Source organism: Homo sapiens, chromosome 14 (assembly GCF_000001405.40).
Source record: "Homo sapiens chromosome 14, GRCh38.p14 Primary Assembly".
NCBI lineage: Eukaryota > Metazoa > Chordata > Mammalia > Primates > Hominidae > Homo > Homo sapiens.
The window spans coordinates 103,475,454-103,488,945 of record NC_000014.9 but is presented as its reverse complement, the minus strand read 5'-3'; the positions used below and the strand labels follow the sequence as shown (position 1 = coordinate 103,488,945).

General features: G+C 43.1%; 1 protein-coding gene across 38 annotated transcripts in view; it reads right to left on the bottom strand.

Annotated features, from left to right (window-relative positions):
* MARK3 (microtubule affinity regulating kinase 3) overlaps positions 1–13,492 on the bottom strand; it is a 118,417-nt gene that overhangs the window by 14,886 nt on the left and 90,039 nt on the right. For all 38 annotated transcript variants that reach the window (NM_001128918.3, XM_005267641.6, NM_001128919.3 and 35 more), the window contains one exon: positions 8,456–8,559. In NM_001128918.3, the coding sequence (NP_001122390.2) occupies positions 8,456–8,559 (104 nt within the window). The remainder of the gene's footprint in view (positions 1–8,455; positions 8,560–13,492) is intronic.

The following is a 13,492-nucleotide window of genomic DNA, read 5'->3' as shown; positions in this document are numbered from 1 at the left end:
AATTAGCAACTGGAATTCTGATAGCCCCAACATAAAGCAGATACGTCTTTAAAATCAAGAACTGCTTGTCCCTGAATTAAAACATTTTTATTTAAATTTTTATTTTTGGAGACAGGGTCTTGCTGTATTCACCCAGGCTAGAGTGCAGTGGCACTATCACAGCTTGCTGCAGCCTCAACCTCCTGGGGTCAAGCGATCCTCCTATCTCAGCCACAGGAGTGTGCCACTATGCCTGGCTAATTTTTAAATTTTTTGTAGAGATGGTGTCTCACTATGATGGCTAGGCTGGTCTTGAACTCCTGGGTTCAACTGATCCTTCTGCCTCAGCCTCCCAAAGTGCTGGGATTATAGGCCTTGTGAGCCACTGTGCCTGGTTCTGTCCCTGCATTTTTGTTTGAGAATTCTGCTCTCTGACTTGGGAGAATTTATACAGTCTGAGAAGGACTGGAAACAAATGTCTTATAAAGGCAAAAATTTATCCAGTTTCGTATTTCTGCCACTCAGTATCCATTCTTTTCCTGCAGCAACAATAATGAGATTTTGCTGTGGTGGAAGTAACTCTAGGCCCCACACAGATCAAGGAGACCACCTGAGGGCTTCTGCTTGAGCACAGCTGTGTGTGGGAAGAAGTTATGTCTGATGGTGCCGAGCCCAATCATGGAACTACGGCCAAGGAGGCAGAAGCAGATGGACCGTAACTCTAGCCCTGGACTTTTTTTAGTTATATGAACTAACAGCCCTTTTATATTTAAGCCTGTTTAGACTGGGTTTTCTGTCACCTGCAACAGAGACAGTTCTAACTGACTAAGGTTTTTAAAGAAATGCTCGGTTGTTTCTTGTACATGTGTACAGACACACGTACACATGAATGCACACAAATGTTATTTATTTTTTTTTTTTTGAGACGGAGTCTCACTCTGTCGCCCAGGCTGGAGTGCAGTGTGATCTCTGCTCACTGCAAGCTCTGCCTCCTGGGTTCACGCCATTCTCCTGCCTCAGTCTCCCAAGTAGCTGGGACTACAGGCACCCACCACCACGCCCGGCTAATTTTTTGTATTTTTCGTAGAGACGGGATTTCACCATGTTAGCCAGGGTGGTCTTGAACTCCTGACCTCGTGATCCACCCGGCTCAGCCTCCCAAAGTGCTGGGATTACAGGTGTGAGCCACCGCGCCTGGCTACACAAATGTATTTTTCTAACAAGATACAGCTAAATACAACTATCTCTTGTGCCCTTACCTTTCAGGGTGAGTCCAGGGTCAACACACTCTACCTCCAGTTGTTGACTTTTTTCTTGCCCAAATTAGGAGCTAGTATCAGTAGATGTGCCAAGAAAAGCAGGGGAAGAAGATGCAGGAGTTGTTTGACCCTTTCCCTGGTGAATACAAATGGTCCCAAAGTCTTTGGAGAAGGAAAAGGCTTTTAGTCAGCTTGCAGGCAGGAGGGTGCTGCATCGATTCCCAATGAAGCACACTGCTGACAGGCCAAGCTAGATCTTTAAGGCATACAAGCATGGTAAGAGGGTGTGGACAGATGCTTTGCAGAAAAAAAATGGATCCTCTAGAGACCTAAGAAGGAAATGTAAATTTATTTTCTCATTATAAATTAAAAAAAAAAATTTTGTAGAGATAGGGTTTCGTCATGGCCCAGGCTGGTCTGGAACTCCTGAGCTTAGGCAATCCGCCCGTCTTGGCCTCCCAAAGTGCTGGGATTATAAATTATTAACTTGAGGCTGGGCGTGGTGGCCCACGCCTGTAATCCCAGCACTTTGGGAGGCTGAGGCGGGTGGATTGCTTGAGGCCAGGAGTTCCAGACCAGCCTGGCCAACATGGCAAAAACCCATCACTACTAAAAATACAAAAATTAGTTGGGTGTGGTGGCGGGCCCCTGTAATCCTAGCTACTCAGGAGGCTGAGGTATAAGAATCGTTTAAACCCGGGGGTGGTAGCTGCAGTGAGCTGAGATCATGCCACTAAACTCCAGTCTGGGTGACAGAGAGAGACTGTTTCAAATTAAAATAAATAAATAAATAAATAAATAAACTTTTTGACATACTAATTTTAAAGGCAATTAAATAAACTTTTTAGAAATTTAATCCATGTCACATCATGAGTTTCACAAAGCAAGCAACAAAATATTTCCGATTTTTCTGATTTCTACAGTAGGCCTAACACCCAGAAGGAAACAGTAAACTCAGTAAGATGTTTGCAAATTTCAATTTTGTACAATCAAGCTCACAAAAATCCTATTTACAACAGGCAGCCCCAACATCACAATGGTCTACATATATATTCTAAAAGGTCATCAAGCTAATTGTTATGAAATTCGAATAATATTTCCCCCCAGAAAAGTGTTAAAAATGATAGTTTTATTTCCTATTCTAGCCCACAATCTACATAAGCAAAACAGTAGCAGCATTACATTTTTTTAATAATTAAAAAATTTTTTTAAAGTTTTTGTGGGTTCATAGTAGCTGTATTACATTAATTTTTTTATTTTTATTTTTTTGAGACTGGGTCTGGCTCTACCGTCCAGGCTGGAATACAATGGTGTGATCTCGGCTCACTACAACCTCCATCTCCCAGGCTCAAACCATCCTCCTGCCTCAGCCTCCCAAATAGCTGGGACTACCGGCATGTACCACCACACCTAGCTAATTTTTGTATTTTTAGTAGAGATGGGGTTTCACCATGTTGGCCAGGCTGGTCTTGAACTCCCGACCCCAGGTGATGCACTTGCCTCGGCCTCCCAAAGTGCTGGGATTATAGGTGTGAGGCACTGTGCCTGGCACCCAGCTAATTTTTTTGTATTTTTGGTAGAGATGGAATTTTACCATGTTGCCCAGGCTGGTCTTGAACTCCTGGGTTCAAGCAATCCTCCTGTCATGGCCTCCCAAAGTGCTGGGATTACATGGTGGCGTGAGCCATCATGCCTGGTCTACATTTAAACCTTAATTGATAGAAATAGCAATGTTTTTCTTAAAATTCAAGTTGCATGAAGAGAGTTCCTATTAATCTTCCCAACTGTTTTGTATTCATGACTATCTTTTAAAATTAAAAAATATATATATTTTTATAGAGACGGGGGTCTCAGGCTACTTTGTCCAGGCTGACCTTGAACTCTTGGCCTCAAGTGATCTTCCTGTCTAGGCCTCCCGAAGTGCTGGGATGACAGGGCTTGTGAGCCACTGTGCCCAGTCTTGACTATCTTTTCTAAAACATTAATCCACTTAAGGTTACTAAAGGATAGGCACTTTGAATTTGTTGCTATGACCTCTAGCCCCTATCAGAACATTCTGATAAGAAATGTATTGGCTGCTGATTAAAAGCATACTCAAGTGACTGGGCAAAAGCAGAATTAAAAATATAGTCCAAGGACAGGCATGGTGGCTCATGCCTGTAAACCTAGTGTTTTGGAAGGCTGAGACTGGAGGATCCCTTGAGGCCAGGAATTTGAGACCAGCCTGGGTAACATGGGAAGACTTCATCTCTACAAAAAATAAAAAATTAGCCAGGTGTGGTGGTCCATGCCTGTAGTCCCAGCTACTCAAGAAGCCAACACAGGAGGATCATTTGAGCCCAGGAGTTCAAGGCTACAGTACACTATGATCATGTCTGTGACTAGCCACTGTACTGCAGCCTGGGCCACACTGCAAGACTCCATCCATCTTAAAAAAAAAAAAAAAAAAAAAAAAGCAGCCTTTTTTTTTTTTCTTTGAGATGGGGTTTTGCTCTTGTTGCCCAGGCTGGAGTGCAATGGTGCAATCTTGGCTCACCGCAACCTCTGCCTCCTGGGTTCAAGCGATTCTCCTGCCTCGGCCTCCCAAGTAGCTGGGATTATAGGCATGCGCCACCATGCCTGGCTAATTTTTTTTTTTTTTTTTGTATTTTTAGTAGAGATGGGGTTTCTCCATGTTGGTCAGGCTGGTCTCAAACTCCTGACCTCAGGTGATCCGCCCACCTCAGCTTCGCAAAGTGCTGGGATTACAGGCGTAAGCCACTGTGCTCAGCCCTTTTTTTTTGTTTTTGAGACAGAGTCTTGCTCTGTTGCCAGGCTGGAGTGCAGTGGCGCTATCTCGGCTCACTGCAACCTCTGCCTCCTGGGTTCAAGTGATTCTCCTGCCTCAGCTTCCCAAGTAGCTGGGACTACAGGCGCATGCCACCACGCCCAGCTAATTAATTTTAGACAGGGTTTCACCATGTTGGTCAGGATGGTCTTGATCTCCTGACCTCATGATCCACCTGCCTCAGCCTCCTAAAATGCTGGGATTACAGGTGGGAGCCACCGCGCCCAGCCTAAAAAAAGCAACTTTTATATGTAGTCCAAAGATACATACGCTAAGTGTCCTCAATCCTTCTCTGCTCAATCTCTATGTGACTTGATGCAGGGTAAAGTGGATAAAATAATAAGCCACTTCACAATTTTGAAACTTTACAGTAATATCCAATATCTAAAATTTATTTGAAAGATTCTGGGCCTGGTGCAGTGGCTCATGCCTGTAATCACAGCACTTTGGGAGGCCAAGGCAGGTGGATCACTTGAAGTCAGGAATTTGAGACCAGCCTGGCCTAGTGAAACCCCATTTCTATTAAAAATACAAAAATCAGCCAGGTGTGGTGGTGTGTGCCTGTAATCCCAGCTACTGGGAGGCTGAGGCAGAAGAACTGCATGAACCCGGGAGATGGAGGTTGCAGTGACCCGAGATCGTGCCATTGCACTCTAGCCTGGGTAAAAGAGCGAGACTCCATCGCAGAAAAAAAAAGAAAAAAAGAAAAAAAAAAAAGAAAAGATTCTGTTTGCATTACTGTAACACCAGCACGTCACTTCTCTGGGGTCTTTAAATGAAGTAGTCTAAACAGTGTCGTCCGGGTATCTAAAGCATATGAAATCGTAGGAGCAGAGTGTCTCTGCTATGTAGGTGGTTTAGCAACATTATTAACTTGAAAGATTAGGTTTAGTCAGTGCAAACTAAGAAAATTCTGCATAACCTTGTCTGAACAGTCTATAATTAATAATGAAAGCTAACATTTGTTTGAGCACTCACTACGTGTCAGTGCTATGTGGTTTAAGACTCACTGCAAACCTATACCATCATGATAGAATCATACAATTGAAGGTGTAATCAAACCTTCTCATGCCTAGTTTACACCAACCATTAGTCACGCCTGGAATCTGGCCATTTTTCGAGAATAACATCAGAAGGCAGAATAATTACAGCAGAAAGTGGGCTGGCCTTCAGCACGACCAGTTTAAAACTAGTCTCAGAAAACGAATCACAGGTGTTTGTGCCAAAGTAACAACTGGCCCTAACCTATGCTCCCTGTGTCATTAACTTTATTGTTCCCACAGGAAAGCTGATAAAACAAAGATTGGCCTAGTAAGAACCAATTAATAAAACTAATTTTCAAAAGAAAAAATAATTAAAATTAATTATATTGCCTATGACGAGAAAAAGCCTTGCATTTAGTAAGCCTTTAAAATATCCTGTTTACAGTAGGATTTTGAAGGTAGTAAGGGCTTAAGATATGTGGAGTCTCTGGTTTAAACCTTCACACAGTTTTTAAAAAATCAGCCATCATTATTCTCATGTTGAAATTCCGTATGAACACTCATATAAAGAAGAAAACATTTAAGGCTAAATGTCGAAAATATTTAAGGCTAAAATTGGAACTTAACATGTTTGTTTCAGAAGTTAACATAGGTCCAGGCATCCTACAGCTCACTCATATTTTAAATTAGTGAAGAAATAAGATATATGGGTGGGTGAAGAGAGGGAAAAGGAACAATTTGCCGAAGAAGTCATCTGTGCAGGGAAAGCTAATTGTATCTCACTGAAGACTCAAGCATCAATTTTAAGGGAAAGCTGTCACATTTAGTGCCTTAACTAAAGAAGTTAAACCCAATAATTTTCCAGTCTTTTAATTCATTTATAAGATAGGAAAGGAAAGTCCAAATATTATTAAAACAATGGGCCCTGTCTTTTAAGGTTTGGCGGTGAGACTCTCTTTGACTAAAGAGAAAGACGACACCTTCAGAAGCAAAGTATTTCAATGACTGATGCTAAGAGAAGCAACGAGACAGGTCAGGATATGAAAGAGTTGGCCCCAACAAGGCAGGTGTCTCCAGGGGGAATGCAGAAAGGAAATATTGCCAAAGAAATTAAAGAAGTCTTAAATATTATTTCCAAAGAGTGAAACGAAAAATTTTAGGAAAAGAGAATCAGAAGACACAGGCATATATGCATGTGCCTGGTGTATGATACGTGTAGCACAGGATGGAAGCAGAGAGCAGATCTTAGTCTTAACACCCTTGAGGAGACTGACTCTGCACCTCAGACAGTCACATATCCTAAAGTTCAGAAGGAGCTGGGTAGTGCATTTTCAGAATTTAGAAGTAGTAAAGGTAATGAAACAACTTTTTTTTTTTTTAGATGAGTCTTGCTCTGTTGTCCAGGCTGGACTGCAGTGGCGCGATCTCAGCTCACTGCAAACTCTGCCTCCTGGGTTCAAGTAATTCTCCTGCCTCAGTCTCCCTGGTAGCTGGGACTACAGGCGCGTGCCACCACACATGGTTAATTTTCGTATTTTTAGTAGAGACGGGGTTTCACCATGTTGGCCAGGCTGGTCACGAACTCCTGACCTCAAGTGATCCACCTGCCTTGGCCTCCCAGAGTGCTGGGATTACAGGTGTGAGCCACTGTGCCTGACCATGAAACATTTCTGTAGTCCTGTAGACTACAATCTGTAACACCAGAAACTTCTAATTAAGTCTTCTATTGATATTTTCTATTAAGTCACTTTTGAACTAGAAGAAATTTGAAAGTTAAGAACTGAACTATAATACAAATCTACCAGAGAGTAGACTACTATTAAGAAATACCTGGCTGGGTACGGTGGCTCACGCCTGTAATCCCAGCACTTTGGGAGGCCGAGGTGGGTGGATCACAAGGTCAGGAGATCGAGACCATCCTGGCTAACATGGTGAAACCCCGTCTCTACTAAAAATACAAAAAATTACCTGGGAGTGGTGGCAGGCGCCTGTAGTCCCAGCTACTCGGGAGGCTGAGGCAGGAGAATGGCGTGAACCCGGGAGGCGGAGCTTGCAGTGAGCCGAGATCAGGCCACTGCACTCCAGCCTGGGTGACAGAGTGAGACTCTGTCTCAAAAAAAAAAAAAAAAAAAAAAAAAAAGAAATACCTATATCAATCATTATCTGTAAACTATCTACCCCAGCTGCTATACTCAAGTTCTTAGTAGTTTTTAATCATAAGAAAAGACAATGTTGAAACACACACACACACACACACGAGTCATAAAAGAGAACAAGAGAATGTAAATATTGCTAAAAATTCAACGAATAATAACCATAATCTTACAGAACAAATGTTACTCCTCATATCAACTCAATCCTAAGTGGCCTATGGAACAGGGAAGTGATAAGCAGTTTGGAACTAAGGATGAAGGAGGAGAGAATTTTTGATTAGGCTGTCACAAAATGTAGTGATCAAACATTTTGTTTGACTAATGAGATCAAACATAGGTTAGGATTAAGAAACAGAACCTCACACCGTAACTGCAGAAAGTAAATGTCAGAACAATTCTGATGCAAACAATGTTCAAGTTAAAAGAATGATGTACACTTACTGCTCTTCCAAAAACAAAGAAGGAAAATCCATGCCAGCCTGGGAAATTTGTTCTGAACAGAATATAGCATATTTAGCTATTCTCTACCAATCTAACTTCTCTTTTCTCTCCACCCAGACTAACCCCACCTCAGAGTCTCTACACCTATCCAATCCCATTTTACTGACTCTACTTATTTTATTTCAAAACCCCAAGAAAATCATGTGCATGATAGGATGCTCTCCTTATTGACATGTAACATCATTGTCTTTTTAAAGTCACGCTCATCCTATGTATGCTTGCTATGTAGCCAAATTAAAAGCATTCAGAAGGCTGGACTTTCCACTTCTCTTGGCTTCTCCAGTGTTTCTATTTAGACTCAGCCATCTGGACCCTTTGGTAAACTGCGGACCTTTAATGCTACCTGGTGCTGTACATTCTCCTGAGGTATGACTCTCTGCCTCACGTCCTTATCTTCCCCCACTTTCGGCTTTTGTTCAAGTTATTAATGAGCACAAGACAATCTCCATTTCCTTATTCACTGTTCTACAACATAACCACAGCTTACTATCTACTTCCTCTAGGAAACCCCCTGGGTTTAACTCAAGCCTTTTAATCATCATACACAGCCAGGCAGGAGGATGATGCTCTGGACAACAAAAAGAATTTAGAATTCTAGTATCTTGCTAAAAATTAGTATACAAATTTAACTTACCTTCAGAGAATACTTACAGTTTTAATTTGAAAATGATTATAAGAACAAAGCAGTAAATAACATGCTTCCATTTCTCTTGGGAAAAACAACTTTTCTTACAAACAGGTAGAATCTCCTACCTGTTTTCTTTGCCATTCTGAATCACTGAGTGTCTATCAGCTGTAGTTCTCTCACTGCAAACATAAGTATTTCGTCGTGTCATTCCACCAGATGCTGTGTTACTCTATAAAAAAGGGCATTTTTGTCTTAAATTTATTTGGTAAATACAGTACAATGAGAAAAAATGAACTTATCTACATAAATAGGAATGTCAGTCTTTTATTTACTTGTTTTTTGAGGCAAGGTCTTACTCTGTCACCCAGGCTGGAGTGCAGTGGAGCAATCTTGGCTCTGCCTCCCAGGATCAAGCAATCCTCCCACCACAGCCTCCCAAGTAGCTGGGAATACAGGCATGTGCCACCACATTTGGCTAATTTTTTTTTTCTTTTTTGAGATGCAGTGTTGCTCTGTCGCCATGCTGGAATGCAGCGGTGCGATCTCGGCTCACTGCAACCTCCCCCTCCTGGGTTCAAGCGATTCTCCTGCCTCAGCCTCCTGAGGTGCCCGGCCTGACAACCTAATTTTAAAATCGGCACCTTCAATAGATATTTCTTTAAAAAAGCTATACAACGGCTGGGCGCGGTAGCTCACACCTGTAATCCCAATACTTTGGGAGGCAGAGGTGGGCGGATCTCCTGAGGTGAGGAGTTCGAGACCAGCCTGACCAACATGGAGAAAACCCGTCTCTGCTAAAAATACAAAATTAGCTGGCTGTGGTGGTGCATGCCTGTAATCCCAGCTACTCAGGAGGCCAGGAGGCTGAGGTAGGAGAATCACTTAAACCTGGGAGGTAGAGGTTGCGGTGAGCTGAGATCGCACCATTGCACTCCAGCCTGTGTAACAAGAGCAAAACTCAGTCTCAAAAAAAAAAAAAAAAAAAAAGCTATACGTATGGCCAAGAAACACATGAAAAGATGCCCAATATCATTGGTCATTAAAGAAATGCAAATCAAAAGCATGAGGTACTACTTCATACCTGCTAGGAAAGCTTTAAATAATAAAATAATTATTAATTGTTAGAAAGAATGTGAAGAAAACAGGGACTCTCACTATTGCTGGATAAAATGGTACAGTTGTGAGGAAAACAGTTTGGCAGTTTCTCAAAAAATTAAACATGGAGTTACCATATTACTCAACAATTTTATTCCTAAATATATACCCAGGAAAAATGAAAACACAGCCAGGTGCAGAGGCTAACACCTATAATCCCAGCACTTTGGGAGGCTGAGGCAGGATGTCTGCTTGAGCCTAGGAGTTTGAGACCAGCCTGGCTGGGCTACATAGGGAGACCTCATCTCTACCACAACAAACAAACAGAAAAAATAAGCCAGGCATGGTGATGCATGCCTGTGGTATCAGCTATTTGGGAGGCTGAGGTGGGAGGATCACTTGGGTCTGGGAGGTCGAAGTTGCAATGAGCCGTGTTTGCACCATTGTACTTTAGCCTAGGTGACAGAGTGAGACCGTCTCCTCCCCAAGAAAGAAGGAAAGAAATTAAAACATTTAAGTCCACATAGAAATTTGTACACAATTGTTTATAGTAGCATTATTCATTTTAACCAATACATGGAAATAATATAAATGTCCATCAACAGATGAACAGTTAAATTGTAGTATATATACAGAATGGAATATTACCCCCAAAAGAAACAAAGTACTAATACATGCTGCAGGCTGGGCACAGTGGCTCACGCCTGTAATCCCAGCGCTTTGGGAGGCCGAGGCGGGTGGATCACCTGAGGTCGGGAGTTCGAGACCAGACTGACCAACATGGAGAAACCCCGTCTCTACTAAAAATACAAAATTATCCAGGCATGGTGGCGCACGCCTGTAATCCCAGCTACTCAGGAGGCTGAGGCAGGAGAATCGCTTGAACCCGGGAGGTGGAGTTTGCAGTGAGCCAAGATCGTGCCATTGCACTCTGGGCAACAGGAGCGAAATGCCATCTCAAAAAAAAAAAAAGGGAAAAGAAAATACATGCTACAAATTGGATGAACCATGAAAACATTATGCTGAGTCAAAGAAAGAAGTAGACACAAAAGGATACATGTGAAATGGTTCCATTTATATAAAATATTCAGAACAGGCAAATCCAGAGACAGAACACAGACTGGTGGTTGCCAGGGAATGAGGGGGAAGGGAGGGGGGCAGAGGGGAGAGGAGGAATGGAAAGTGATTACTTAAGGGATACAGGTGTTCTTTTTTTTTTTTTTTTTGAGATGGAGCCTCGCTTTTTCGCCCAGGCTGGAGTGCAGTGGCACCATCTCGGCTCACTGCAACTTCTGCGTCCTGGGTTCAATCGATTCTCCTGCCTTAGCCTCCCGAGTAGCTGGGATTACAGGTGCCCGCCACCATGCCTGGCTAATTTTTGTATTTTTAGTAGAGATGGGGTTTCACCATGATGGCCAGGCTGGTCTTGAACGCCTGACCTTGTGATCTGCCCACTTCAGCCTCCCAAAGTGCTGGGATTACAGGCGTGAGCCACTGCGCCCGGCCACTTTTTTTTTTTTTAAGGACAGGGTCTTGCTCTGTTGCCCAGGCTGGAATATGGTGATGTGACCATGACTCACTGCAGCCTCAACCTCTTGGGCTGAAATGATCTTCCCACCTGAGCCTCTCAAGCTCTCAAGTAGCTGGTACTACAGGTGTGCATCATCACGCTCAGCTATTTTCTTTTTAATTTTTTTTGTAGAGATGAGGTCTCACTCTGGTGCCCAGGCTGATCTCAGACTCTTGGGCTCAAGTGATCCTCCCACCTCAGCCTCCCAAAGCGCTGAGATTATAGGGGTTAGCCACTGTGCCCAGCCTAAACAGATGCTCCTTCTGGGGAGCTGAAAAAGTTCTGAAACTAAAGACAGGTGTTGGCTGCACAATACTGTGAGTGTACCAAATGCCACCGCATTGCCCACTTTAAAATGGTTAATCATTGTCATGTGGATTCACATGAATTTAACTTCCAAAACAAAAAACTAAAAAGCAAGGAACAAGTCACAGCTATGGACTTTTTTTTTTATTTTTTGAGATGGAGTCTCGCTCTGTTACCCAGGCTGGAGTGCAATGACACAATCTCAGCTCACTGCAACCTCCATCTTCTCGGTTAAAGCAATTCTCCTGCCTCAGCCTCCCGAATAGCTAGGATTACAGGAGCACGCCACTATACCCGGCTAATTTTTGTATTTTTAGTAGAGATGGGATTTCACCATGTTGGCCAGGCTGTTCTTGAACTCCTGACCTCAAGTGATCCGCCCACTTTGGCCTCCCACAGTGCAGGGATTACGGGTGTGAGCCACCGTGCCTGGCCATAGCTATGGAATTTTATCAGATAATTTTTAAACAAAGATAGAGCAGTCACTTTTACTACAGCTTGAGCAGACCATCTACAGAGAAATCCCAAAGACTCATGGGAGAAAATAATAATGTTGCTAACTACCTTTTTTCCTTTGTAAGTAATTTAGTATGGGTGGACTGAAAATACTCATGATTCACTTTCAGAAGGGCAGCGTGTGTAGACAAGAGCAAAGGGGAAGAGAAGTCATGAAGGCAGGGAATAATGCCCTCATCTTCTCTGGTAACTGTCAACAAACGTTGGAGACGGAATTTTAACTGCAGGAGTATGGAAACAATAATCCTACTGTATGGCATTTGGAGGCCAAAATAAACTTTTCACACAGGGTTTACTTCGACTAAGCATAAGGTCAGAGGATGAAACATGCAAAGCCCCTTGGGGTCCTTCATGCACCCAGTCCCCAGAATGGAACAATGAAGGGCTTTCAGAGAGCAACAGGGTTTCTCCACAGCCTCCTCAGTCCAGGGTTTTTCTGGAGTTGGAGGCAGGGCTGCATCATTGTTAATTTTGTAGGGAAAAACGTGCTTACAGAATAATCTTAAGATTGTTTACTTCTCTGCAAATTCTTTAATATGTTAGGTTAGATAGAACATACTTCAATACACAGAAAAAAGTTTCTGAAGCTGAATGGATTCAATTTAATTTAGTAAATATTATCTACTTACTGGGGAGATTTTGTTACAGATAGGGATTAAGAGCTGGATTCAGGTTGGCAGTGTAATTTTAGGCAATTACCCAACTTTTTTTTCACCTTAAAATGTAGCTAATCCATGAAAAAGCACTGAGCATGGTCCTTGGCACATGGTAAGAACTCAGCCAACACTCTTCATCATTAGAGCTCTTTGAAGACTCAGTGTGAACACCACATCTTTGGGGCACTGGCAGTCAGACCTCCCCGTGTGTGCACGTAGGCTTCCATCTGCACTGTCACTGTTTTCATTCACTTCCTGTTAGACTGTGAGGTCTTTCCATGTCTCAGCACCTGACAACCTAAGGCTCAGCAGGTGTCCGAAATAACTGGAACCAGGCCTTGAAATAAAGGACCTATCACCATCTAGTGTCTATGGTGGGTGTGCTATGCTCTGAATGTGTCCCCTCCAAAACTCATGTTTAAGCTTTATCTCCCATAGGAGAAAACAGTATTTGGAGATGAGTCTTTTAGGTGTTTAGGCCACGAGGGCTCCGCCTTCATGAAGGGATTAGTATCTTTTTTTTTTTTTTTGAGAAGGAGTCTCGCTCTGTCGCCAGGCTAGAGTGCAGTGATGCGATCTCGGCTCACTGTAACCTCTGCCTCCTGAGTTCAAGCAATTCTCTACCTCAGCCTCCTGAGCAGCTGGGATTACAGGTGCCTGCCACCACGCCCAGCTAATTTTTGTATTTTTAGTAGAGATGGCGTTTCACCATCTTGGCCAGGCTGGTCTTGAACTCCTGACCTCGTGATCTACCCACCTCGGCCTCCCAAAGTGCTGAGATTACAGGCGTGAGCCACCGCACCCGGCCAGATTAGTGTTTTATAGAAGGGCTTGAGGGGGTGAGTTCACCCCTTCTGTCCCTTCAGCCACATGACAACACAGCATTTGTCTCCTCTGGAGGATGCCAGCACCAAGGCATCATGTTGGAAGCAGAGAACAGGGCCCTTGCCAGACACGGAACTTGTTGGTGCCTTCATCTTGGACTTCTCAGCCTCCAGAATTGTTAAGAAATAAATGTC